General features: G+C 51.0%; 1 protein-coding gene and 1 long non-coding RNA gene across 2 annotated transcripts in view, besides 2 other annotated features; both read right to left on the bottom strand.

Moving 5' to 3' along the window:
• Nucleotides 1-25,857, bottom strand: part of INMT-MINDY4 (INMT-MINDY4 readthrough (NMD candidate)) — a 140,253-nt gene that overhangs the window by 35,471 nt on the left and 78,925 nt on the right. Inside the window, exons 9-14 of the long non-coding RNA NR_037598.1 lie at nt 20,153-20,259; nt 17,601-17,717; nt 16,069-16,157; nt 6,362-6,463; nt 4,638-4,701; nt 3,458-3,523 (exon numbers count right to left, since the gene is read on the bottom strand). This is a non-coding gene — a long non-coding RNA (INMT-MINDY4 readthrough (NMD candidate)). The remainder of the gene's footprint in view (nt 1-3,457; nt 3,524-4,637; nt 4,702-6,361; nt 6,464-16,068; nt 16,158-17,600; nt 17,718-20,152; nt 20,260-25,857) is intronic.
• The window catches only part of MINDY4 (MINDY lysine 48 deubiquitinase 4), a 120,971-nt gene that overhangs the window by 35,471 nt on the left and 59,643 nt on the right, over nt 1-25,857 (bottom strand). The window contains exons 7-12 of the mRNA NM_032222.3: nt 20,153-20,259; nt 17,601-17,717; nt 16,069-16,157; nt 6,362-6,463; nt 4,638-4,701; nt 3,458-3,523 (exon numbers count right to left, since the gene is read on the bottom strand). Of these exons, the coding sequence (NP_115598.2) occupies nt 3,458-3,523; nt 4,638-4,701; nt 6,362-6,463; nt 16,069-16,157; nt 17,601-17,717; nt 20,153-20,259 (545 nt within the window). The remainder of the gene's footprint in view (nt 1-3,457; nt 3,524-4,637; nt 4,702-6,361; nt 6,464-16,068; nt 16,158-17,600; nt 17,718-20,152; nt 20,260-25,857) is intronic.
• Nucleotides 2,460-3,362: an enhancer, noted in NCBI's record as "H3K27ac-H3K4me1 hESC enhancer chr7:30893171-30894073 (GRCh37/hg19 assembly coordinates)". NCBI's record gives its function as "activates a minimal SCP1, AML or CMV promoter by ChIP-STARR-seq in primed H9 embryonic stem cells {active_cell/tissue: H9 hESC(primed)}" and the evidence as "EXISTENCE:reporter gene assay evidence [ECO:0000049][PMID:30033119]".
• Nucleotides 8,387-8,456: an enhancer, noted in NCBI's record as "active region_25819". NCBI's record gives its function as "activates an Ori minimal core promoter by ATAC-STARR-seq in GM12878 lymphoblastoid cells {active_cell/tissue: GM12878}" and the evidence as "EXISTENCE:reporter gene assay evidence [ECO:0000049][PMID:35858748]".

The following is a 25,857-nucleotide window of genomic DNA, read 5'->3' as shown; positions in this document are numbered from 1 at the left end:
GTCTGTGGAAGTGCTCTGACAATGGCAAAGAGTAATGCTGATGTCTCCCCCTGCACAGGGGGACACAGGCTCAGGAGGACTTGGGTCACCAGTCCCTTGTACCAGCTCTGCATGCTGCCTAGGGAAGTCACGAAGCTCTTGGTCTCGGTGTCCCTTTCCATAGAAAGCCTACCTAATCTGCCACAAATTTCCATCTCCCCTTGGACAGTCACAAAGTGTTCTTGGTCTCAGTTTCTCCTTCTAGAACTCTTGCCTACTTCTGCCATGGACATACATGCAGTCCTGGGGCAGCTGCAGTACTTTCTTGGTCTGTGGTCTGTTTCCCCTTCCGCCAATGCCTGTAACGCCTACCTACCTGCAGTGAAGTAACAGACACAGAAACCCACTGTAAACCCCAACTCTGTGTAAATTTGGGGAACTATTATTACATTTATGCCAGCGTTGCCCCCAGTCCTAGGAACACCCTCAAGGGGACCCCTTGAGCCCTGGACATGCCTCTCTGCAGTGGGTGGGGAAGAACCCTGCTTGAGGCTTCTTGCCCTTGCTGGAACACACTAAATGGCACCAATATTCCATTTTGTTTTTTAAAACTTTTATTACAATTATCTCATCAAATTCAAGCTGCCAAGACATGGGAGGCCACAGGGCAACACGCCTGCATTGAAAGGCGAGGTCAGGCAAGGCAACTGGCCTGAAAACTGCCATCAGGGTCTAGAAAGTGGTGCCACTTGGGAAGAAGGGGCTATTCTTCCAGTGCTACTCTGCACTCCACAGAGACCTGAGTCTACCAAGGAACTCCAATGGGAGGCAGAGGTGGGGGCATCCTCCAGCTGGCCAGGAGCCTGCCAGACACCTTGCCCAGAGGGTGAGCAGTAATGAAAACACAGCAAGGAGGCTATTGATTTTGGGCAAAGATGGCTTGGTATACATTTCCAGGCCTGGCACGAGGAACCCCTCTTAGGCCCAGGCCATGAAAAATGAATTTGGTGAGGGCAGTGCTGAGGCAGCTCAACTGCTTCCAGCAAAAACATGAATTAAACTGCAGGGGGAGAGCTGCCTTCCAGAGTGAGGAGGGCCGAATATTGACCGCCTGTACCAAGGACCAAAGCCAGGCGAGGAGGCGACTGCTTTGAGTCCAGAGGCATCACTGAAAGGAGGCCCCCTCGCCCTGGAACAAATCCCACTCTCTGAACCCCTTCCACAGTCCCTGTCTTGGTTAGGCTTCATCAAAGCCCTGGGGTACAGGCTGAGGGGGAGGCTCCATCTCATAGACAAGGATGCAGAGGTCCTGGTGCTGAGGGGCCACCCCAGTCCATCAGTGGGCAGCTACAAGCCTCAGGATCTGTGGTCATTTGAGCAATCACCCTCAGGCTCCACCTTAGCCCCTGAAGCCTCACCAGTCACTTCCTTTTCCTGGCTCTGGTGGCTCCACGTTCTGCTTCAGCTGGGAGTGTGACCAGGTGATCCCATTCCTGGCCACCCTGGCCAGATCCCACACACGGATGCCATCAGGCTCTGCTCGCCTCTCCTGTGACTGCTGCACTCTCACAACACTCCGGATCAACAGCAGGTCTCCTTTCTGCTCCTTCAGACTGCCTAGTACTGCATTTGGAAGACACCCTTCTCCAAGTGTTTAAGGTTCTTCTTTGAGGACCACCCTTAGATGATGAAGAGCTGGAAGCTACCTGATAACTGCTCCATCTTCCATTTTCCAGATGAGGAAACTGAGACCCAGTGACTTTCCCAAGGCTACATATGACTAAGGAATAAGCCAAAGGGGGCCCCCAGGCCCCTGCTCCAGGCCTCCTCTGCCCAGGCCAGGCGGTGGATGCACCGCATCAGCAGTTGGCCTACTGAGTGACTCCAGTGAAAAACCAGAGCTGGGGACAGGCAGCAAAGGACAGACAGCCTGGGGCTCCCGATGCCCCGGCCAGCACTCCTTCTCCCATGCGCCTGGACAGAGCAACCCACGTAGAAAGGGAGCCATCCTAATCCATGCTTTTGGGACAGGCCCTGAGGCCTCTCCCCAGGCTGAGGGGTGAAAGCACTTCAGGTGGATTGCCCCTCCGGTGACCTCACCTGCCTCCTTTTGTTCCTAGGGTAGGCCCCATTGCCTACCCAAGGGACATCTGGTGCTGCCAGGGCCTGATCATTTCCCAGGGCTGTGCCCAGGCCTTCAGGGTCTTTGGGAAAGTTCTGCGGAAGGCAGTCTGACAGCAGGAGCTTTAGTCCTGGTCCCATTTCCAGCAAGTTCTCCCACTCTCCGGCTTACCACCAAACCCTCCAGTGCCTTCTGTGGGGCCAAAAAGAATGGATCCCACATCCAGAAGGTCAAAGGGAAGGCAAGGTGAGGCTCAGGGACCAGCCAGCACACCAGGAGAGAAAGGTCTGTGTTCTTCCTCTGCTTCGTAGTGGGGGTCTCAGAGGTCGCGGGTCTGCTGGCCTTAGTTCAGGCCACACCTGCCTTCTGTAATGCTTCCCTCTCATTTCTACATGTCTACAAGGAACCCATCTCAAGGCTGCCCTTAGAGCATCATTACAATGGCAATCCTAATGTCAACAACAGAAGCTAACAACTACTGAGAACATCAAGCACAGCCCAGCTGCCCTAGGCTCTCTGCGCGATGCTCTGAGGCAGGCACTGTTCTTCTGACCCACATTTTACAAATGAGGAAAGTGAGGTACAGAAGGATTCAGAAAGTTGCCTGAGGTCAGGGAGCTACTGAAGGGTGAATCTAGATTCAAAGTCAGGCCAACTGGCTCCAGAGACCGTGTTCTTTACCCCTGGAGTGTGTAGCCCCTCCCCACAGAGTCTGTGATACCACAGCTCTGCCATGACTTCCCGGAGCCCTGTGATCTGCTGCTGTCTGGCCCTGGCCACGTCCCGCCCAGCTCATGGCCAGGAGTGGATGTACAGCTCTCCTCTGGCAGGCGGGGGGGCTCCAGAGCCCCCACCCAGAGCAGCCCTGCCACCCCAGGGATACTAATCAAGGTGTGTATCACACTGCTAAGCCCTCCAACCCACCCAAGAAGCCGCTTTCTGGTTACCTCACCAGCTGGTCCCAGGACCCACTCCACTGACAAAGAGCTCCTGTATTCCAGTGGCGGCTGCTTCCACTCAGACAGAGAGAAAGCTCTGGTGACCTCCATCTAACAGCTGCTTCCTGTGTCCTGACCCCACCCGTCCAGCTCTGCTGTCAGTAGTCCTGGCTGTGGCTGCTACCTGTGCCCTGCCTCCAGGACCAGCTCTTGAGGATGCAATGGCAGGAGCCAGATCCCTCACCCCAAGTCCATTCTCCTCAGCCCCCAACCAGGGGCCAGCATTACTCCTTCCCAGCTTCCTCGCCATCCCAGGGTGGGACGACAGGAGAACAACTCCAGTTCACAGCATTGTTCCCACAGTGAAATCAGAAGGCTTAGTGACGCACATCCCACAGGAGTAAGGCATGCTTCATACCTGATGAATGCTTTGTTGAAGAAAAGTCACCAGGTCCTCATAGCAGGTCAAACTGTGAAGCGTAAGCTGAGAAGACACAAACACTCAGGATGAGTGGCCCAAGCCCCACGCAGTGCCCCATCCTGAATTAGCTTCTGCTCCCTGGCTTTAGTAGCTACAAAATCCAACTTGGGAATGTCCCTGCGTCAGAGAGCAGCATCTCCAAGTCAGGGCTGAGAGGCACGGCCATACCTGTATGTGAGTGAAAGGCTGGCCGGTACCGCTGGAGTCGTCAGGGTTCAGGTGGCCCTACGGCAGCTCTGGGCCTGAGACCCCAGAATTCCAGCATCCTGTGTGGCCCCAACAGGGGAGGGCTGCACCCCATGGGCGAGTCACTGATATCAGAGAGGCGGCTGGCAGGGAGGTGGATAAGGCAGGGGCCATATCCAAATCACAATAGCCAGGCCAGGTGGAAGCCAACAGGCTGTGTCCTGAGTTCAGCAGGAAGCAGCCCTTAGGAGTCTCCTTTGCTTTTTCAGGCAGGCCAGGAAAAAACACTTCAAGAGAAAACATTCAACAATGCGAGACCCTCAGTTAGGGTCACAGGGCAACACGTGCCCAAACCGAGGTCAAATGAAACTAATTTGTTAAAACAAAAATTCTCAGTGAAGAGGTTGGCAAGAGGTAGCTGAAAAACTTCACTGCTCTTATATTTTACAAAATACAAAAATGTATGTCTTCCATTATTTCCCCGATTGTGTATGACTTAGATCTGGCTTTATGGCTGGTGTTCCATGCTATTAAAGTTCCTCCCCACATTCTAACTTTCTCTCCCTCTCCTTACCACCCCTGCCCCACCCCCTCCCACAACAATCCTGGAGCAGATGCTAAAGAAAGAGGAAGAAGGACACAGGGAAGCCTGGGGCTTAACCAAAAGGCATTCCATACAGACTTCAGCTCTGCACACCCTCGATGGGACAGGAAGCCAGTCAGCCTTTTGGCCGTAAAGCCAGCTCTAGCAGGAGCCCATCCCCAAAGCCACCCCACGTCTGTCCCCACCCTAATCCCAGGATGAGGATTCCTGGGACCTGGGCTGCGGAAGGCCAGCCTGTCCCCAGCTGAGGAAGGATTTACTTATATGAAAGGAGACAGTCCCCAAACAAAGCCAAAGTTTGCGTGATAATTTTCCAGAAAGTCGTACTGTTTCTAAGACTCCATCTGCTTTGTATTTCCCTGTTGGACTGAACTGCTGTGTTCTCGAAGCCCTAAAAAGGAAAGGAAGGTGCATGAGTCCTCTGAGTGGAGAGAAGGCGTGCCCTCCAGCCGGGGCGAAACCACATGTGTCATTAAATAAGGACAAATAAGAAGGTGGCTCCAGAGAGAAAATGGAGCCAAGAGTTTCTCATTTTTCCCCACTTTGAACTCACCCACTAGGCTGGGCCCAGAGAACTCCAATAGCAGGATTTAAAAGAAAAAAAAAAGAAATGGAAAAAAGACTGCAAAGGGAGAGCTTGGAATAACCAAACCCAAACCCAAGCCCTGGCAGTAGGAAGTCTGACTCTCACCCACAACTGACAAATGTGTTTCCAGACTGCGGAATGCTGACTTGCCCTTTGTTTTCACTGATGGAGGAACTCCACCTCCATCCTCTCCGAGGCTCCCCCTGGGTGTGCAGTCCCCAGGGGTGTGTAGCCCAAGACGTCCAGGAATCGGAGCCGGGTTTGGGGCCCCGTGCTCCTTTAGTGGCTGTGTAGCCTTGGACCAGCCACCCTCCCTCTCTGGGCTTCTGTTTCCTAATCTGTAAAACAGGGAGAAATTGAATTCCTGCCCCATCTGTTCTCAGGGCTGCCCTGCAGATCCTAAGGGCCGGGGTTAATAAGTTAACTGGAAGGTGAGTACCAAAGACAAGTGACAGTAATAATAACAAAAACAAATAACGATATCTAAAACGTGGTGCTTAGTATGTGCCAGACACTGTCCTAAGCACTTCGCAATTATTATTATTTATCAGCTATTCATATTGATAAAATGATTTAAACTGATAATCATATTTATATCATTTCTTTATACTGACTCATTTAGGTCTCACAGCCATCCAAGTAAGTAATTGTTATAATCATCCCCATTTTCCAGATGAGTAAACAGAGCGATTACATCCATTGCCCAACGTCACACAGCCAATAAGCAACAGCATTGGGAGTCTGACCTAAGAGTCCTTTCTCTGAAGCAATATGCTACAGTGACCAACGTGCCCCCAGAGTATGGTCCTTGGCCCCAAAAGTGATCTCCTTATACTACCGCTTAGCCTCACAGCTGGGACAGCGATGCTTCCACTCTGACGGATCAGGCTGAAGACCCAGCAAACCTTGCATGTGGGTTATATGCAGTAGAATGGGGCCAGCGGTGAAGAGACGATGCGGGTCAGGATAACTGGGTCCAGGGCCTGGGCTCCACCTCACCTCCCTGAGTCTTTATGGGATGGGGACCCAAGTGACAGAGCAAATGGCAGTGTGCTTTGGGGACTGGGAAGAGCAGTACAGTGGGGTCAGGACTGACTCAACCTGAGGGGCTATTTCCTGAGGCCTCCAGATCAGAGAACTATAGAGAGGAGCTGGCTGCAGGGGTCAGAGGCTTCCTCTGAGGGGTCACCCCAGAGCTCCTCAGGAGGAAGGCAGGGCAGACAGACCACGCCTTCCAACATGAGAACTGGAGCCCAGAGAGGGCATCGCAGGGCCGCATGGAAGGCCAGGGCTCTCCCTGAGTCTGCGGCTGCTCAGCACATCAGGCTGGCTTGCAGGGCTCATCCCAGCATGTGGCACAGGGTGGGTAACGGAAGGACCCAAGGATAGGAGCATACACAGCCAGCTTGCCGGCAGCTGCCAGCAGACGATGAGCCACGGCAACACAGACCTCGGAACCACTTACAGTGCAACAACGGCTCTCTCTCGGCCCCCTGCCCGCCACACAATGTCTGCGAGGGCCAGGACGAGGCAGCGGGTCCGGTGGGCATCTGAAGGCTGCAGTCCCCTGCGGACAAGAAAAGGAAGGCATTTATGCCCATGTGGACACAAGGTTGAGATGGTGCAGCTCTACTTAGTGTGGTCAGGCAGTCCCCTCCGCAGATGGCCTGTTCTTTCTCTGGCCTGCAGAGGGGCCACCTGCAGCCCAGGAGCCCCAAGGCAAAGCCCAGGAAAGAGGGGTCTCCACAGCTGAGGGCCAAAGGAGGTGCCTTCAAGTGGGAGGCCCTGGGTGGGGCTGGTGAAGGAGGAGGCAGAGGAAAGGGCCCACAGGAGCAAAGAGGGCTCTGCAGGCTTGGTGGGGCCCAGAAGTGTGTGAGAGAAAGTGCCATGAGTTCTGGCAGGGACTGGGAGGCCCAGCCAGCAGTGCTCGGGAATGACTGCCATCTCAGGACCCTGCCCTGGCCCTGGCCATGCCCACCTCCAAGCCTCTGGAGTCAGTAGCACGTACAGGCAGGTGCTATTCACTGCCAGGGCCAAGGGGACAGCAGCCTCACTTGCTGGACATTTAGACACAGAGAGTGGGGGATGAGTGGCAGGACAGATTCAAGGATGAGCTCTGTGTTTTGAGTGGGCACATGGTGGTGCCATCAAGCAAAATAAGGACAATGTGGCTGGGAAGAGGTAGCTGGAGATAGAAGATAAAGAGTCACACTTCAGACTTACTGAGTTTGAGATGCACTCAGATCTTTAGATAAGGCTGTCAGACATGTAGAAAGCCCAAGAGAGCAGCTGGGGCTGGGCACAGATTTCCCAGAGACAGAATGAGGAAAAACAGAGACCGTGGCCAAGGGTGGAACCCTGTGGAACTCTAAGGAATCAGCGGAGGCAGAGGAAGAAGGGTCAGAGGGGCAGAATGAGGAGAGAGTGCCACGACACAGTCGTAGGATCAAATGGACAGGCAGTCAGCTGTATCAAACATGGCAGAGACCTCTCTATAATAAAAATGGTAACTAAGAGGTCCCTGGTGCCTGAACTGAATGAGAGGGAAGGGAAACAGCCGAATATACGTATTTCTTTCCATTTCATATTCCCAGGACTCCTTCGAGGTGTACTTCTAGGCTTCTCTTGGATTCTGCAAATTTTTAAAAAACTCATACGGAAGCTAGCTGGTCTCTCCCTAACAAACAAAAGGACTTGATGAAGACTCTGCTAGGGCTCAAAGGAATACAGAGGAGGGGGTTCTCTGCCTTCAGTCACCAAATAATTCCTGAGCTCCATGCGGAACTGTGCTGGGGAGGAAGAATACTGAAGTTCGTCCCTCTTTTCCAGGACAGGAGAAAAGAAACCAGACCAGAACCCAGCCCACCACAGTGGGCAGCATGTGGTCACTGCCCAGTGCCTGGGACACATAGCCAGTGACCTACACCTAGGCTGCTGTGGTCCAATTACTTTAAAAGGTGACAGAACACAGTGGCCCCTCAGTTTCCTCATCCATAAACTGGCAATGACCACTGCACCTCCCTCGTGGCTTTAAAGGAGATGTTTGTAAGGTCCCTGGACCAGTGGCTGGCACGTGGTGACTATTCAATCAATGGCGCGTATGACTATTGTCTTTATGAAACCATTAAGTCCCCACTTGGGCCATGACAAGGGGAAAGTGGATTTCCAACATCTAATATGAAAGTGACACCAAGCCTCTGACACTGGAAATCCTTCAAATCCAATGAGACAAGCAACAAGCACTCAAGCACTTAAGAAAATAAAACAGCTACTGCCTGACACTTCTTTGGCCTCAGGAAGCCCATCATGTTCCTTGGAGGAAATAGTTACCAAGCATTCACCGAACCGGATGCCCCAGCTGCTGGGAGCACTGGCCCAGGTCACGGTTCACTATGAAAACCACCATGAGAAAACATTGCTCTAGGTTTCAGGAGAGCCCACACCAAGGACTAAGGGGGCCCTGGAAAGCAGAGCTTATCAGAAAAAGGAGAAAGGACTGGACTCAGAACCCACAAATGTGACTCCATCACCCCCACAGCTCCTGCTTCATGCCCTGCTCTCATACAAATGATGGCCATGTACTGTCAACTGCACATCCTGAGTACCTCATGCCCACCCTTCCCCTGCTGTGTGGCCCAGGCCAGGGTGTTCTGCCCTCAGTTCAGCTGTTACAGCCAGTGCCCCACCAGCAGTTTTGCTCCATCTCACCCCACCGTCCAATCACCATTGCACATACACATGGGGTGGGGGTGGGGGCGTGTCTTCCTACAACACAGGTGTGACCAGTGTTCCCCAACATGGATAGACGTTACACAAAATCGTGCCTGGAGTGTACTTTCTGCCTAGAACACCTAAGCTGGAAAAACTCCATATCTGGAAGTAAGGAGACCCCCTGTCAAACACTTCTACACTAACTTACTGAAGCAGGTAATTCTCAGTTGGAAGCTTCTCAGTGTAGCAACAAATAAGATTTTAAAAGCCAACAGTGGCCAGGTGCAGTGGTTCATGTCTGTAATCCCAGCACTTTGGGAAGCCCCAGGTGGGAGGATCGCTTGAGGCCAGGAGTTTGAGAACAGCCCAGGCAACATAGCGAGACTCTGTCTAGAAAAATCAAAAAATCAGCCAGGTGTGGTGGCATGTGCAGTCCCAGATACTCAGGAGGCTGAGGCAGAAGGATTGCTTGAGCCCAGGAGTTGGAGGCTGCAGTGGGCCATGATCGTGCCACTGCATTCTAGCCTAGGTGACAGAGTGATACCCTGTCTCTAAAACAAAAACAAAAACAAAAACGAACAAACAACAAAAAACACACACACATATATAGAGTATTTATCATGTGCCAGACACTGTTATAAACTCTTTCCATGTTATTTCATCAAATTGTTAAAGCAACCCTATGAGGGAGGTACCATTATATCCTCTTTGTAAAATGGGGAAACTGAGGCATGGAGACACAGTGATTTACTCAGATCAGATAGTTAGTAAAAACTGGAAAAAATAAACACTGAGGAAGGAAGGAGAGCTTGGGTAAGTAGAACCAACTGCCGTGGGCACCTGGTTTCAGGAACCAGCCTCCTTTGCCTTTGACCCTGTCTTTTCAGCACCATGTAACACAATCAAGAGATCTTGCTCTTGGGCAGGGCCTGTCCCCTCATCCTACAGGCTCTGCTTACAGCCCCTTTGAACCACCATGTCTCCAAGCACAAGTCCTCATTCTTTTCATTGGCTTCCAGTTAGTAACTCTGCCAGTCTCTCTATTCTTCCCTGGGCCTTCTCCATCTTTCTCTTTTGAGACACAGTTTTCTAGAAAACACAGTAGAGTTGGAAAAAGTACAGTGATCAGACAGGTAAGAGGCTTGGGCTGGATTCCTGGTTCACAGGTTCTGGTAAAACCGTTGCCCTCCCTGGCCTTTGTTTCCCTGCCCACCTACAAATGCAGACACTGGGTCAGATGCCCCCAAAGCATCATTCCAACACTGCCATTCTGTCTTTAACCCAGGAGTTCCCAACCCCCAGGCCACAGACTGGCACTGGTCTGTGGCCTGTTAGGAACCAGGCCGCACAGCAGGAGGTGAGCAGCGGACGAGCCAGTGAAGCTGCGTTCTGCCTGCTGTCAGATCAGCAGTGGCATAAGACTCTCGTGGGGGCAGGAACCCTATTGTGAATTGTGCATGCGAGGGATCTAGGTTGCGCGCTCCTTATGAGAATCTAATGATAAATGTAATGCACTTGAATCATACCGAAACCATCCCACCCCCACCTCCAGTCCATGGAAAAATTGTCTTCCACAAAACCAGTCCCTGGTGCCAAAAAGGCTGGGGACCGTGGATTTAACCCACCCCAGATTAGCCAGGGCTGTATGTGCCTGCGTGAGAACCTGCACCCACAGATGATGACAGGGAAAGGTCCTGCGTCTGAATCACCCAGGCCTTTACCAGATAGCTCAGCGCACGCCTTCACTGGCAGAACCCAGGTGACAAACAGGTCTGCATTTCCTGATCAGTCAGACTCCTCCCAGGAGGCTGGCACCTGGCCAGGCTCTTAAACCAAGAGAAGTTTCTTTAAGAGTCGAATTCCTCACAGGTGAAGTGCAGGAAAAAGACATTTATCTAGAGATAGGGAAAATAAATGATCTTGAGGGAATAATACATCCTGCTTTTACCTAAATTACCCAAGTGTTTCAGATGAAAGAGATGTTTCTACCCTAACTTTCTCAAAATAGCCTCACCTGTCCACTGTGACGTGCCCATGGAGCCATGTACAGAGTCTATAATTTGGGGGAGCTCCCTGTCTGCTCCCTCTCAGGGTCAAAAGCTGCAATAGGGGGTAGAAAGGCTGGCCTGGGGCTGCAGGACCATAGGTTCTGCTACCAATGTCCACAGAGGCCTTGGGCAAGCACCTCTCCTTATCTGGGCCTCGAATTCCCCAACTTCAGAGGGGAAGTGGAAGTGAGAGGAGGACTTCCTGGATTCCCCGACTCTCAGATCCGCACCCGCCTCTGAGGGCCGTTCCTGGCCTGTGGCTCTCTCCAGGCCTTCAGGGGGATCAAGAGCTCTTCATCTCTTTCTGTGAGCCAAGCCGGCACAGCCTCTTCTCAAGTGGAAAAACACCAAGTACTGCTGCCCAGCTCCATCCTTCCCGACTGAGGAGAGGCCGGCTGCCGGCCTGATGGAATGAGTCGTAATGAAGCCAGACAGTCCTGCAGAAAAAACACCACCACTGCCAAGATGCCTTTATTTCAGCGTGACTTCCCTGGAGGGTGCGATCCCATCCTCCATCTGCTTTCACAGAACCATTTCCCCACCAGATGTGGTGGGCAACATCTGAGGTGGGGGCCTCCAGGGCCAAGGCAGACCCCGCACACAGGCAGGAAAGTGCAGGGGCTGCCTCTGGGTCCACAGGGCCTGAGCTCCCCAGAGCCGCAGAGCAGATGGCAGCTGATGGCAGGTCATCGTGGTGTTCCTGAAGAAAACAGAAGAGCTTGCCCTTTTTTTTTTTTTTTTTTAAGCTGGATCATGTCTGAAATCCTAGAATTTCAGAGTCAAAAGGGAGTGCTGAGGCCTCACACCCAACCATTCACACATGGCTTTTGAAGGAACATCAATAACACAATCAATCAATGTGAAAACTATATAAGTCAATGAAACCGAGGAGCTGAGGACTGAGAGAGGTTCCTGCCCACGTGACCCAGTGTTTCCCTTTGCTCGTGTGGGGCAGGGGCTCTGTAGGTGTTTGCTATGTTGCTCTCTGTACTCTTCTGTGTTCATCTTTTCTAACTTAAAGCCAAAGGGGAGGTTCCACCGTGAAGCCGTTCATGAACAGAGCCACCCCTTGGTCCCTAGGAGTCTGTGTGGGTGTCCAGCGATGGAAGTCTAAAACTCAGAGCCCTCAGCCTTCCTCCTGGCCTCCCTGGGCCCCCACTGCTCCATGCCTCTTGCAGGGCACAGCAGCACAATGTGACACAGGGGCACCAGGTGCCAGTCTTGGTTCTGCCAGGGATGCCAGATGTGACCCTGAACAACCATCTTTCCCTCTCTGGGCCTCAGTTTCCCCATCTGTACCATGGCAGGCTGAGTTCAATGGCCCTACTCACTTATAGAGCCCTTGAAGATTTACAAAGGACTTTGCATTTTCTTACTGAGTCCAATTTAGGCAAGCCAGAGATGACTATTCCTAGTTCACAAACGGAGAAAGTGATGCTCTGTTTCCACACAACCATAATCCAGGTCCTGACCCGGTCTGGTACCCTCTTCAGCACCCTTCCCCTCTCCCAGGGTGGCTGAGGGGCACAAAGCCAGGCATTCCCCCTCCCAGCCTGGGCACCAACATCTACAGGCTAGACACCCACCCACTTGGCAAGGACAACCTTCTGTAGCCTCTGACCTTCAGGGCCTTGGCAAAGCAGTGACATGGACTCCACCTCCCTTCTCTTCTCCAGGCCCCCGACAGCAGGCCCTCACTCCCTGGTCTTCCGGGTCTTCACTTGACAGAAGCCCTAACCTGTCCTCAGGAGGGTTCTTCCTCCCCAACCCCTATCTACCTGCGACCTGAGGCAGGACCAGTGCAGGAGAGTGGGAGGAGACTGGGGTGGGAGGGCTGGGGAGGGCATCTGGTGCCTGCTGCCCAGGGCCCATCACCAGGAGGAGGCGAGTCCTTGCTGGGGTCAGGGGAGACGGTCTCTGGGCCTCCCCAGCTTGTCTCCCTGTGACAGCTCTGCCTGAGTCCCCTGAGGCTTTTTCAGCGAGCTCCATAACTAAGCCAGGCTCTCCACTCCTCCCTCTCAGGGGAGTCTGAAGAATGTCCCCTGAGGCCTGCTAGGAGGTCTGTGGGAGCAGGAAGTCAGACCGCTTCACTCAACCTGCACAGCACAGCACCTCTGTGATGGGGCAGCAGCCGGTAGGGGTGGGCTACAAGCAGCACCCAGTCCAGGGGGTGGGCTACAAGCAGCACCCAGAGTTGCAGGGCTCCAAACAAAAGCGAGGTCACTCTCCTACACCATGAATCCTTCCAGGCTCGCTGGAGAAGGTGGCCCTGGCCAGCAGGCCGTGCTCTCCCAGCTGCATGGCACAGACCTCCTCTGGTCCAGCCAGGCAGGCCCCCCCATAAGGTCTGGCTCCTTGGCACCTGGCACACCTCCACACATGATGACCCCCAACAGGCCAGCAGCTCCTTCTTCCCTCCTCCTCTGCCCACCCCCACAGCCCCAGGACCCACTGGGCTGCACCATCCTTGGCCTGCAGCTAGGAGGTACCTGCCTGGCCGGCAACGACAGATAGAAAACCTCACTCCTCCAGCTTAGCAGTTTTCTTTCTACCCAGACACCCCCTTGGGATCCCAACCTGGATGGCTTTTGCCTTCTAAGGCCTGGCTTCCCTCCCTGGTGTGGACAGCAGTGGGCTTCCACCCCATGGATGTGGCCTGGGGGTGGGGTAACAAAAACCAAGTCTGCCTTGTGCCCTGAGCAGAGTCGGCTCTTCCTGGAACATGCTTAAATGCCTTGTCCTGACTGTTGGGAAACCATCCACAAGTTCCCCCAGAAGCCCACGGTGAAGTTCAAAAGCAACTCTGAAGGAGCACTAGGCTGAAATGAGTTTAGAGACAATCTCCTGCAAGGGCCAAGGCTTGATCCAAGCAGCTGGCAGCACCCAAGGCCCCTCTGGCAGCCTGGCGCTGACCTGCCACTACCCCAGCTCCCACCCTCCTCCTCCAAATGCTGCCCTAACCACCCCCAGTGACTCCTCCACTCCTCTCACTGCCCACAGGCTTTGCACATCTTGTTCTCTTTACTGGAATACCATTCTGCCTCCCCTCCCTGTTTGGATAACTCATTCATTTGTCCATGTGTTCTCTCAACAAAAATTCTGAGGGCCTCTTCTGTGGACCAGACACAGGGCTGGATGCCAGGGCCCTGGCTGTGAACCAGCTCAGGAAGGTCCCTGTTCTCACGGGGCTTGTGTTCTGGAGTGGGGTGGGCAGTAGTAGGTGGCGGCAGATGTGGACAGGTAACCATATCGATGAGCAAGAGCACCAGCTGGCAGTGGAGTTATTAGAGGCAGGGCCTGGTTTTATCTTAATGGGGGAGGTCCCAGGAGGCCTCCACAAAGATGTGGCCTCTGTGCAATGAGAGGAGCCAGCAGGCACAGCGCCTGAGCACAGAGCCTGAGGGCTCAGGAAGGTGTTTGAGAATATTTGCTGGGAAGGTGAAAACAATTTGAGGGGGAATAAGAGTGTGCAAGGATGCATATGAAGGGGAATCAGGGGTTCTGTCCATCCTTCCTATCTCCGTAAGATGAAAATGTCAGTCCACCAGGCTGCCCGCCCTGAGCCACTTCATGTCCAGATGAACCCTTAGCACCGTGCATGTCCCCTGTAACCACCTGTTCCTGTCTGGCTCTCCTGTTCAATCATAGGTGCCATGAGGGCACCTGTATGTGTCTTGTTCAGCCCTGTATCCCTGCTGAGGACCTGCTAAGCACACTCTGCACATTTTTTTCAGTGCAAGGAAGGAAGGTGGGTAGGTAGGTAGGTGCATATGTGCTCAGTATCCCTGTACCCTCTGAGGGCAGCCAGCGGTTCTTACTTAGCAAAGTTCCACCCAGTCAGGAGCATTCCTGAGCATACAGGACTGTGTTGAGCCCACCAGGGAGAGCTGATGGCAGGGTCTCTGCCCATGACATTCAAACCTCCCAGCCCTTTGTGGGGCTGAACTTCCAGAGCAGGCAGTGGGGCATGATCCTGTACAGACAAGAGCCACGAAGGATCGACCGGAGAGCAAAGGGGAGGGGAAGCAGAGAGAAGAACAAGGACAGGTGAGATCTTGCCACGGAAGTGTTACATTGCTGTGCTTCTGATTAGCATTTTTGGTTGGAGAGGAAACACCTCAATTATTATTGTGCAAAACCATTGGAAAAAATTTTAAGATGCCAAGCATGAAAAGCCACCTTCACTTGAACCCTAACTAAGGAAAAATCATCCGTGCTGGTGAAATGTGTTTCATTGGAGTACCAAGCTTGGCTGGATGGCTCTCCTAGTGAACAGTGTCGTTCCCAGGAATGCATGGGAAATGGGTCTTGTTGTCTGGGTAACACCTAGGCTTTTTTAAAAAAGATTCTCAAATGCTTATTTCAAAGAACAAGTACCTTTCAATAAAGTTCAGGAACTGGCAAGATTAAGCTATGGTTTTAAAATCCATTTAATTATTAATATAACTTCAGGAGAATAGGGGTACCTGCTGGGTACCAGAGGATGCTTCTGGAGTACTAGAAATATTTTTTCTTAATCTAGACAATGTGTTCATGGGTGTGCGGTTTTGTGATAATTCATTGAGCAGAACACACATAGTATAACTACTGTGTATATGTTATATTTTAACTAAATTTTTTTTTTTTAAAAAAGGCCAATTGCCAGAAGTTCTGTAGCTCTGAGGGTGACTCGGTACAAGCTGGTAACCGGGCCTGCAGGGAGGGAAAGAGAGGCAGGTCACTTCCTCAAGAAGGCCTCGCCTCCAGCCCCACCAGTGCCCTGCCAATCCTTTCATCTTGGCACCAACGATGGTATGGGATTGGGGTTTTCTATCTGCCTCTCAACCTCATGGAGCATTTCTGGAGAGGACAGAACTCATCTAATTCTCCCCTGTATCATTTGTGCCTGCACAGAGATGTTCCAGGAATGTGTGCTGAATGAATGAGAATAAGGTGCTCATGTGCAAACACTTAATGTGTGAAATGGAAACTGAACGGCTGCAGGGAGTGGAAGTGATGATCTGTGGGGCGGCCTGGAATGTGTGGTTATGAATGTTGGCAGAGGGGAGATAGCGTGGGGAGGGAAGGGAGGCCCGGACGCAGTCGAAAGGTCGGCAGGTCGACCTGGTGGGTGGAAGGGATTCGGGCAGCTTGCCGTCTGAGGAGGGAAATTGGTTTTGATGTCGTTCCTGCAGCCCCTTCCCAGGTGGAGCACCACTGAGAACCCTCCCCGCTTTCAGAAACAAACGCGCACAAGTCCCCTTAACACTGGTCTGCGCAGGCCTTGTCAGCTAGCTGCCATTAACCTCTCCTTTCTTGACCTGCAGAAGACAGGAAATATCAGGGAACACACATGCTTCCTTGCTTGTTTTTTCTGGACACTCTGGGGAAGACTTGGGAAAATAAGATATTGCCAGAAAGAGCACTGACTTACTGAGCACAGTCGGCTTTGCTATCTCCTTCAAACAGGAGTTTCTGTAGGACACAGCCTTGGACAGCTGCCAGGACTCCGCAAGGACCACCCTGCAAAGAATGAGACCATTGCTGCCAGTGAGAACTGGCCTGGGGCAGAGTTTTTGGTTTCACCCAAACCCACCCCAGAACCCACCTGATAGAGTAAAGGGGCCCTGCCTTCTGCAACAGAAGGGCCTCTGATGTGGCAACTGCTTCTACAACACACTAACCTTGGGCCACAGAGAGGGAGTGACAAGACCCTTTGTCCACTCCTAGGGGAAGGGGCCAGTTGTCAGTGTGTCATGGGAGGAAAGTGACTCCTCATAACCAGTCAGCTGTGAAGCCAAGGACATCACCATAGGTTTTCTATCATCTAGGGAAATGTTTCTGTGTCTACAGGTTGAGGGTGTTAATTGTCTACCCAGCCTTCAAGGCCCATCCTAAAGTTCTCCTCCTCCAAGAAGCCTTTCCTGACCATCTCGGCTGGCAGTGAGCCCCTTCAACAGCCTGTGGTTACATGAGCTCTGCGCTCTCTTCTGCCCCACTTGTGGCCTGCTTCAGCACCACATTAGGTGTATCTTTGTCCTTTCTCACCCTGTGGTGCAGAGGCTTCTTGAGGAGCTCATCTCTGTAGGCATCACGGGGCTTAGCACAGGATCTGACTCCTGGGACACATTGGCAAAGGCTAGTGGGACTGAACAACACAAACAGACCTCATCCAGGTTTAAGGATTGTCTGAACGGCAGGTTGGGGTGCTCATGAAGACCAGCTGAGTTTGGCCACAAGAGGGAGGGACAGAAGCTGGTGGTCCTGGGGCTCGACCTCAGGCAGTGTGGGGCAGGGGAGGTTCCTGGGGCTTAAGAAACTGAACCGGACCAAGCTGCCCTGCTCAACTGCTGATTCTTGATCCTGGGTTTAGCTTATTTTCTGCCCATGAGTATAATGTGGGAACTGGGTATAAGCCATGTTCTAGGCCTGCAACCATTGGCCTCCGCTGGCCCAGCTTCTATTACATCCTTCTCTTCAAGCACTTGCTCTGCACACTTGATCCCTCTGCCTTTTCATGCAGCCCCTAGACTTTCAAACCGCCTCCCCTTCATTAATGCTGCCACCTGCCTGGAGTGCCCTTTCTCCAGCTCTATCTGCAAAATCCTGTGAATCTCTCAATGATCAGCCTAAGAAGGCCCCTCTAGTGGCCCCAAGCAGACTGAAGGCCTCCTACTGCTCTCTCTCCTGCTGAGGATCCCAGCACCTGCACCACTCACAGCAAGTGCTCCTTAAATCCATGTTCAATTTTAACATCTCCAAAGCAGAGGGTCTTATTCCCCAGCTCTTGCTGCACCAGCCACATCTGAAGTGCCTGCACCAAGTGACAACTCAGCACATGTGGGGCTGGCTGGTCCAGAATAGCTCAGCTAATGCTCACAGGATTAACCAAAACTGGGAGGTACACCCACCCCTATGCATGATGGCCCAGCAGAAAGGTCCCAAGGAAACCTAGGAGCAACCTGCCTTGTTCTGCACTATGCCGTATTTTAATGAGGCTGTGTTACTAAAGGAAAAACTCTGAAGTTTCCATTCTTCATTGAAACAGCAAAAGCTGGAACCAAACAGAAGGGTCTTTATTTCCTATAAAAAGAAGAGAGAGTTTTACTGGTTGTTTTAAAAGCAAGCAACAATACGATGTTCAGTGTGCATATTCCTGCAGAAGTTGTTCTTGAATTCTAGCAGGGAAGCCCATTTTCTAGCATGGTTCATCTCTTCTCTTTTTATTTTTCAGGCTCATTCTTCTTATATTTGATGAAAGAGAAACTCAATAATGAGGGTCTTACCTCTGGAACATCTTTAAACCAAGCTAGCCTGTGCTGACATGGGCCAAAATCTTTGTAAGCTCCTTACAGGGGCCTTGAGAAACAAAATTTTAGATTTGCAAGGGATCTTGGAGGTCCTCTGATCTTCCACAGGCAAGACTAGGGGTTTTCAAACTCGACCTCACATTAGAACCATCTAGGATACGAAGTTCCTAAAAACAATCTTGATGTTCAGAAAACACACCAGCCAATTAAACCCCAGTTGCTGAGGGTGAGACTCCAGTATCAGTAGTTTTAAGATTCCCCCAGGTGATTCCACAGTGTGCCGGGTTTGAGAGCCAGTGCTCTAGTGCAGGGTTACTAAACTGTGACCCACAGGCCAAATCTGCCCCCACCACCTGTTTGTAAATAATGTTCTACTGGCACACAGCAAAGCCCATTTGTTTCCATACCACCCATGGCTGTGTTCATACCATGATGGCAAAGTTGAATAGGTGCAGCAGAGATCACACTGCCAGCAAAGCCAAAAATACACTATTGAGCCCTTTACAGAAAACACCTGCCAACTCCTGGTCTAGTACAACTCTCTACCATGCGTAAGAACCTCCTCTGTGATGCCGCCCATGAGTGGTCCCCCGTGAACTCTGCTTGAACCATCCCAACCCCCCAGTGAAGGGGTTCCCACCACCTCTCAAGGCAGCCCCTCTACTTTCTCACGGCTGTCTTCTCCAGACTTCTGGCTGATAATGAGTTCACTGTTCATTTCCCATCAACCCACGCATCACCCTCCAGAGCCCCCAGAATGGTCAATCCCTTCCCCATGGACAGGCCCTCAGATGAGAAAGGCAGCAGGTCCCCGCCCACTCCCCTCATGATGGGCCCACCCTCTCTCTGCCATGGTTTTACATCTGAGGGGGTCTCTGAAGCCTTGAGTGAGCCCCAAGACCAGCAGGTGGATTCTACAGCCACTTCCCTGTACCCCCTCTCTGGGTCAGACCTTTCCTACAGACTCATTATTTTCCACCAGAATCAGCTCTTTTTTTCCTTTTCATTAAATATAAGGAAAAATCTCTTTGACAGAAGCATTTGTCCACATGTCATCAAATGTGGGCTGGTGGCACACAGGAGAAAGGATGTGTGGATTCATCTGTCAGGGCTCAGAATGACAGCTCCCGCTAGGCACAGTGTGGTCAACAGAGCCTGGGAACCTGGACTCTGCTTTCCAGAGGCCACGTGCCCTGGGCCCTCCTGTTTTCTCTGCAGGCCTCACTTTTTCCAGTTGCTTTTGGAGACGCTACTGCTGCATAGTCTTTAGGAGCCTGAGGGGTCTGCCCCAAGCATAAGTGCGCTCTGCAAAGACTCATTGCATGGTGACAGATGACAGAGCACCTCCTCCCAGGTTTGGGGCCATTTAAGTGTATCTGACCCTCTGTAGCTTCAAAAGAGAGAATGGAAGAAGGGGGAGATATGAGAGAGAAGGGGAGAGGGGAGGAGAGGGGAAGGAAACGAAAGGACAAAACCTCTAGAAAAATATTTTGCTCTTTGATTTGTATGCTGAGTAAATATGTAGTAAGTAGGAAGAGAAGGAAGTCAGCTGTGTCCCTAGGAGTTTTATTTTTCCCTCCTGGATCTTGGTGAAAGGCCAGAAGAGGACAGCGGGAATGACATTCCATCCTGCAGGAGCCTCTGGTCACGGGAGTGGTGAGGCCACCCTGGTAGCCGAGCATGGTGAGCAATCCCAGACACCCCTGCAGAAGAGGCTGCTGTGGCCAGGAACCTGCTCCTGGTCCCCTGTGACCACGGGGCCCTTTAAGTGGCCAAGGGAGTACACCTGAACAGTGCTGAAGAATTGTTAACACCTCCCTGTCCTTCCTTCACTGCAACCTGGCCAGGGCTTAGGAGACCAGTACAGGAGCAGCGCTGCTCTAATGGGGACAACTGGACCATTTCCATCACACCCTAACGGTGCCCACAGGGACATGATGAAGCAGCTCTATTCCCACGGTATTTGGAGGGGAGGACATAACCTCCTCCCTCACCTTTTGTCTTGGAGAGGGAACGAGAGCTGCAAGGACTAGACTGCAGTTTTCCTGACTCTCGGTTCACATTTTCTTCTACATCACACCCAAATTTCCATTTCAACAATGACCAAGAGATTACAATGAGCTGGATTGGGGCAGAAACACCAAAATCACGCCATCTATATCCATTCAAATCAAGACACATTTAACCCAGGAGTCTCCTTACACTTACCTTTGCTACTGAGAGGTCAATTGGTTTTGATGCTGTCTGCAACTTGAGCACTGATGGGACTGGCGACAGGATGACCTCTTCCCTTATCAACTCATCCTCCACATCCTCTGAAAGAAAACCATGGCCATGTGAGCCCTTCGTTATGACTCACGGAGAACAGAACATGAAGTCACTGAACACCACAGACATTGCTAAGTTTGTAGAAGGTTTGAGTGAAAGGAGGGTTCCTCCCCGCATTCATTCACCCCAGCTCTGTTCTGAAGTTCCCAGACCCTTAGCGGAAGGAAAGCAACCAGATCAAGAGAGTCCATGCTCCTTGTCACAACCCTGCTCTGTTCATACCACGAGGATGTTGCCGAGTGAGACTTAGCTACTGGTCCACTAGAAAGTTCCACGCATGGACATAGAGTGGAACAAGTGCCTGGGTCCTAAGCCATCGAACCAGGACCAGGAAAGCCTAGCTCAGACACATTTCTTACAAAAGGTGGGCATGACTCGAAAGATCATTCCCCCAAGGACAAAGGTGAAGAGGACAGGACTGGGAAAGAAAATGGAACCATTGCTGATAAAATAATTATTGCATATAATCACTATTGTAACTTGCATTTATTGACTGCTTGAATTTGATCACCTTCTTCCACAACAGCCTTATGAGAAAGTAATTATCATTACCCCCACTTATAGATGAGGAAACTGAGGCTTAGAGGAGTTAAGTAACTGGCCCCAAATCAATCAAATGGAAAGTGGCAGAGAGAGTGACTCCTAGTAACTCTACCATCCCACTGTCCTGGACCTCCAGCAGGGACCGTAAGCCATATTCCAGATATTGTTTTCTCATAGTGGGACAACTGAGGCCTAGAGAGGGTCCCAGCTGTGACTTCCCCGTTAGCTAAGGCCCCCTTGTCATTACACCTGCTGCCGCTGCATTCACCAGAACACAGTGATAAAGGACCCAGGGAGAAACAATGCCAAGGCAATGGTGCCGGCAAGGCTGAGCAGAGTGAACTCCAGAGGGTAGCTGAGGGCTTGGCTCTGTGAATCCAGCTCCCTAGAGGGGCCTGCCAGAGTGGGCCTGTGTGGGCGGGGGTGGTATCAAAGGCCACCATTCCCAGGACACACAGCTTATATCTTATGCTACAGCCTCCTTTCTCCCCAGGGCGACCCAGCCACAGCACAAGGGGAACTCCTAGAGACTCAGGCCACTGAACAAGCACATAGATTCTACCACTGGGCTGGGGAATAAAGTCTGGAATTTAAATATGAACCTGAACTTAGATGAGAATGCTTCTGATATGGTTTGGCTCTGTGTCCCCACCCAAATTTCATTTTGTAACTCCCATAATTCCCATGTGCTGTGCGAGGGACCCAGTGAGAGATAACCGAATCATGGGAGTGGGTCTTTCCTGTGCCGTTCTCATGATAGTGAATAAGTCTCACAACATCTGATGGCTTTAAAAAACAGGAGTTTGCCTGCACAAGCTCTCTTTGCCTGCTGCCATCCACATAAGATGTGACTTGCTCCTCCTTGCCTTCTGCCATGATTGTGAGGCCTCCCCAGCCATGTGCAATTTAAAGTCCAATAAACTTTCTTTTGTAAATTGCCCAGTCTCAGGAGTATCTTTATCAGCAGCATGAAAACAGACTAATACAGTAAATTGGTACCAGTAAAGTGGGGCGCTGCTGAAAAGATATCCGAAAATGTGGAAGTGACTTTGAAACTGAGTAACAGGCAGAAGCTGGAACAGTTTGGAGGGCTCAGAAGAAGACAGGAAAATGTGGGAAAGTTTGAAACTTCCTAGAGACATGTTGAATGGCTTTGACAAAAATGCGGATAGTAGTATGAACAATAAGGTCTCAGATGGAGAGGGGGAACTTGTTGGGAATTGGAGCAAAGGTGACTCTTGTTGTGTTCTAGCAGAGATTGGCAGCATTTTGCCTCTGCCCTAGAGATTTGCAGAACTTTAAACTTGAGAGAGATGATTTAGGGTATCTGGTGGAAGAAATTTCTAAGCAGCAAAGCATTCAAGAGGCGACTTGAGTGCTGTTAAAGGCATCCAGTTTTATAAGGGAAACAAAGCATAAAAGCTCAGAAAACTAGCAACAGAAAAGAAATGTAATAGAAAAGAAAACCCCATTTTCTGAAGAGAAATTCAAGCTGGCTGCAGAAATTTGCATAAGTAGCCAGAAGCCAAATGTTAATCCACAAGACAATGGGGAAAACGTCTCCAGGGCATGTCAGAGGTCTTCATGGCACGCCCTCCCATCACAGACCCGGAGGCCTAGGAGGAAAAAATGGTCTCATGGGCTGGGCCCAGGGTCCCTGTGCTGTGTACAGCATAAGGACTTGGTGCCCTACATCCCAGCCACTCTAGTGATGACTAAAAGGGGCCAATGTACAGCTCAGGCTGTGGCTTCAAAGGTGCAAGGCCTAAGCTTTGGCAGCTACCATGTGGTGTTGAGCCTGCAGGTGCACAGAAGTCAAGAATTGAGGTTTGGGAACCTCCGCCTAGATTTCAGAGGATGTATGGAAACACCTGGATGTCCAGGCAGAAGTTTGCTACAGGGGCGGGGCCCTCATGGAGAACCTCTGCTAGGGCAGTGCAGAAAGGAAATGTGGGGATGGAGGCTCCACAAAGAATCCCTACGGGGGCACCACCTAGTGGAGCTGTGAGAAGAGGGCTACTGTCCTCCAGACCCCAGAATGGTAGATTCACCAACAGCTTGCACCATGTGCCTGGAAAAGCCACAGACACTCAACACCAGCCCATGAAAGCAACTGGGAGGGAGGCCGTATCCTGCAAAGCCACAGGGGCAGAGCTGCCCAAGACCATGGGAACCCACCTCTTGCATCAGCATGACCTAGATGTGAGACATGGAGTCAAAGGAGATCACTTTGGAGCTTTAAGATTTGACTGCCCTGCTGGATTTTGGACTTGCGTAGGGCCTGGGCCCCTTTGTTTTGGCCAATTTCTCCCATTTGGAACAGCTGCATTTTCCCACTGCCTGTACCCCCATTGTATCTAGGAAGTAACTAACTTGCTTTTGATTTTACTGGCTAATAGGTGGAAGGGACTTGCCTTGTCTCAAATGAGACTTTAAACTGTGGACTTTTAGGTTAATGCTGAAATGAGTTAAGACTTTGGGGGACTGTTGGGAAGGCATGATTGGTTTTGAAATGTGAAGACATGAGATTTGGGAGGGGCTAGGGGCAGAATGATATGGCTTGGCTCTGTGTCCCCACCCAAATCTCATCTTGTAGCTCCCATAATTCCCACATGTTGTGGGAAGGACACTGTGGGAGATAACCGAATCATGGAGGTGGCTCTTCCCTGTGCTGGTCTTGTGATAGTGAGTAAGTCTCATGACATATGATGGCTTTTAAAAACAGAAGCTTGCCTACACAGGCTCTCTCTTTGCCTGCCACCATCCACATAAGATGTGACTTGCTCCTCCTTGCCTTCCACCATGATTGTGAGGCTTCCCCAGCAACGTGGAACTGTGAGTTCTCTATTAAACTTGTTTCCTTTGAAAATTGCCCAATCTCGGGTATGTTTTTATCAGCAGCGTGAAAATGGACTAATACAATTTCTTAGTTAGGGTCTCTGAAAAGCTACCCTATGACCATGGCCTTACATAAATAACCTAAAACAAAGATCAGATGTCTACCCAGCAACAAGAATGGGACTTAAAAACATGGTGCTGGGTAGAGAAAGTAAGAAACCAAATGAGATATATAACACAATGCTATCTATGTCAAGTAAAAATGATGCATACAAAACAGTATAGATTTTGCAAGAACATACACAAGAAAAAGATATAGATTAAGCATAAGAGAATGGTTGCTTATGGGAAAGGAAGGTAATAAGAGTATAAGGGGTAGGGCTAAAGATAAATAAGGAAAGAAAGTTAAGAGGGAGAAAGGGAAGGAGAGAGGGAAATGTAAAAGGGAGGGAAGGGGGCCAGGCACGGTGGCTCATGCCTGTAATCCCAACACTTTGGGAGGCCAAGGTGGGTGGATCACCTGAGGTCGAGTTTAAGAGCAGCCTGGCCAACATGGCGAAACCCCATCTCTACTAAAAATACAAAAATTAGCCAGGTGTGGTGGCACGGGCCTGTAATCCCAGTTACTCAGGAGGCTGAGGCCTGAGAATCACTTGAACCCAGGAAACAGAGGGCGGAGGGTGCAGTAAGCTGAGATTACACCACTGCACTCCAGCCTGGGCAACAGAGCAAGACTCCATCTCAAAAAAAAGGGTGGGAAGGAAGAAAGGGAAGAATACTGATAGGCAGGCTTTGCAAAGACCAACATTGAGAATGTTCTCTGGAGGAAAAGAGATGTGTGATTAATTCCACCTTAGACATCTGAGGCCCCAGACAAAGGGGCAGGATAACCTGAGTGATTCCAGATTACTGGAGGACTGACCCTGAAGGGCTTCTTGCAATGCCTTGAGCCAGATTGTTTCCTGGAGGCACAAAGTGACAGTATTTAAGCCTATTTAGAGGTTTCTATTTAGTCTGAGGTTGTCAGGGAGGGATCCAGGCCTGAAACACGCTCTGCCTGGGTCCCATGAAGTAAATCTGGGAATGAAGGCTGGGGGCCCAGGAAAAGCAGACGCCAATGGAGCATAGGCCAGAGTAAGCCCCTTGGAAAAGGCAAACTCCTTTGGCTTCTACAGGGAGGAATTGGCCCAAGTGCAGGGAGTTGGTTTAGGACCATATAGCAGGCCTCGGGCCCAGACGTGGTGGGAATGCCATGCAAGGGAAAAACAAAACACTCCAGAACGACATGTTGGCCAGGAAGACAAAGCCATCTGTAAATGTCAGTGGTTTGAGAATGCTATTTCTAAGGTCCTGGTTTAAATGTCGAATTGAAAAGAAGCAAGGGGTTTTGTTTCCCATACTATTTTATGTGCTTTTTGTAGGATACATGTACGTATGTATAAAGTAATTGGATTTTATTTCCATAGGGAGTCAAAGATACCAAGGGGAATGATGTTCATAGGAAGATTCCATAGGGAGAATGGGCCACACAGCTTTTTTCTGGGAGCCTGTGCAGAATTTCCTACTGACCACAAGATATCTTCTGGAAGTGCCCCAACACCAGAAACTCAGAACCCTTCCTGGCTTCAGTTTCAATAAAAGACCCCATCTCTCCTCTACCCTTCTACCAGAGCCCCAGGCTGAAACCTCCACCCTCTCTCACCCACCATGCCGGTCCAGCCTCTGGATCACTCTGCCTCCAGAATGTCTCATATCCTGCCCCCCTGTTGCCTTTCTCTCTCCACTGTTACAGGAATATGTCCTTATCTTTCTATTTGCTCAGCAAGTGCATTCTTTAGCACCCATGATGGACTAGGGATGATGTGGGACAGAGGTAAGAGATGACTAAGGCCCCACCCCTTCATTCAAGCAGCTGCCTGCCAAGGGAGAGATAGAGCCCCCTGAAAAATTACAACATAACCTAGTAAGTGCTGAAAAAGGAACGAGTGCAAGGGTTTTCAGAGCAGAGAGGGAGGCAATTAATTCTGCTATAAATGCTCAGGGAAACTTCCTATAACAGGTGAAATTCGGGCAGGTCCTGAAATACCCATTGGATTTCCCAGGTAAGAGGGGTCTCATTACCTCTTCTCTGGACTATGCCAAGAGCCCCTCACCAGTATCCCAACATCTAAGCTTGTATCCCTAAAGTCTATTCTACACCTAAG

Source organism: Homo sapiens, chromosome 7 (assembly GCF_000001405.40).
Source record: "Homo sapiens chromosome 7, GRCh38.p14 Primary Assembly".
NCBI lineage: Eukaryota > Metazoa > Chordata > Mammalia > Primates > Hominidae > Homo > Homo sapiens.
Note: the sequence above shows the minus strand (reverse complement) of the source record. Positions and strands in the feature narration are given on the sequence as shown.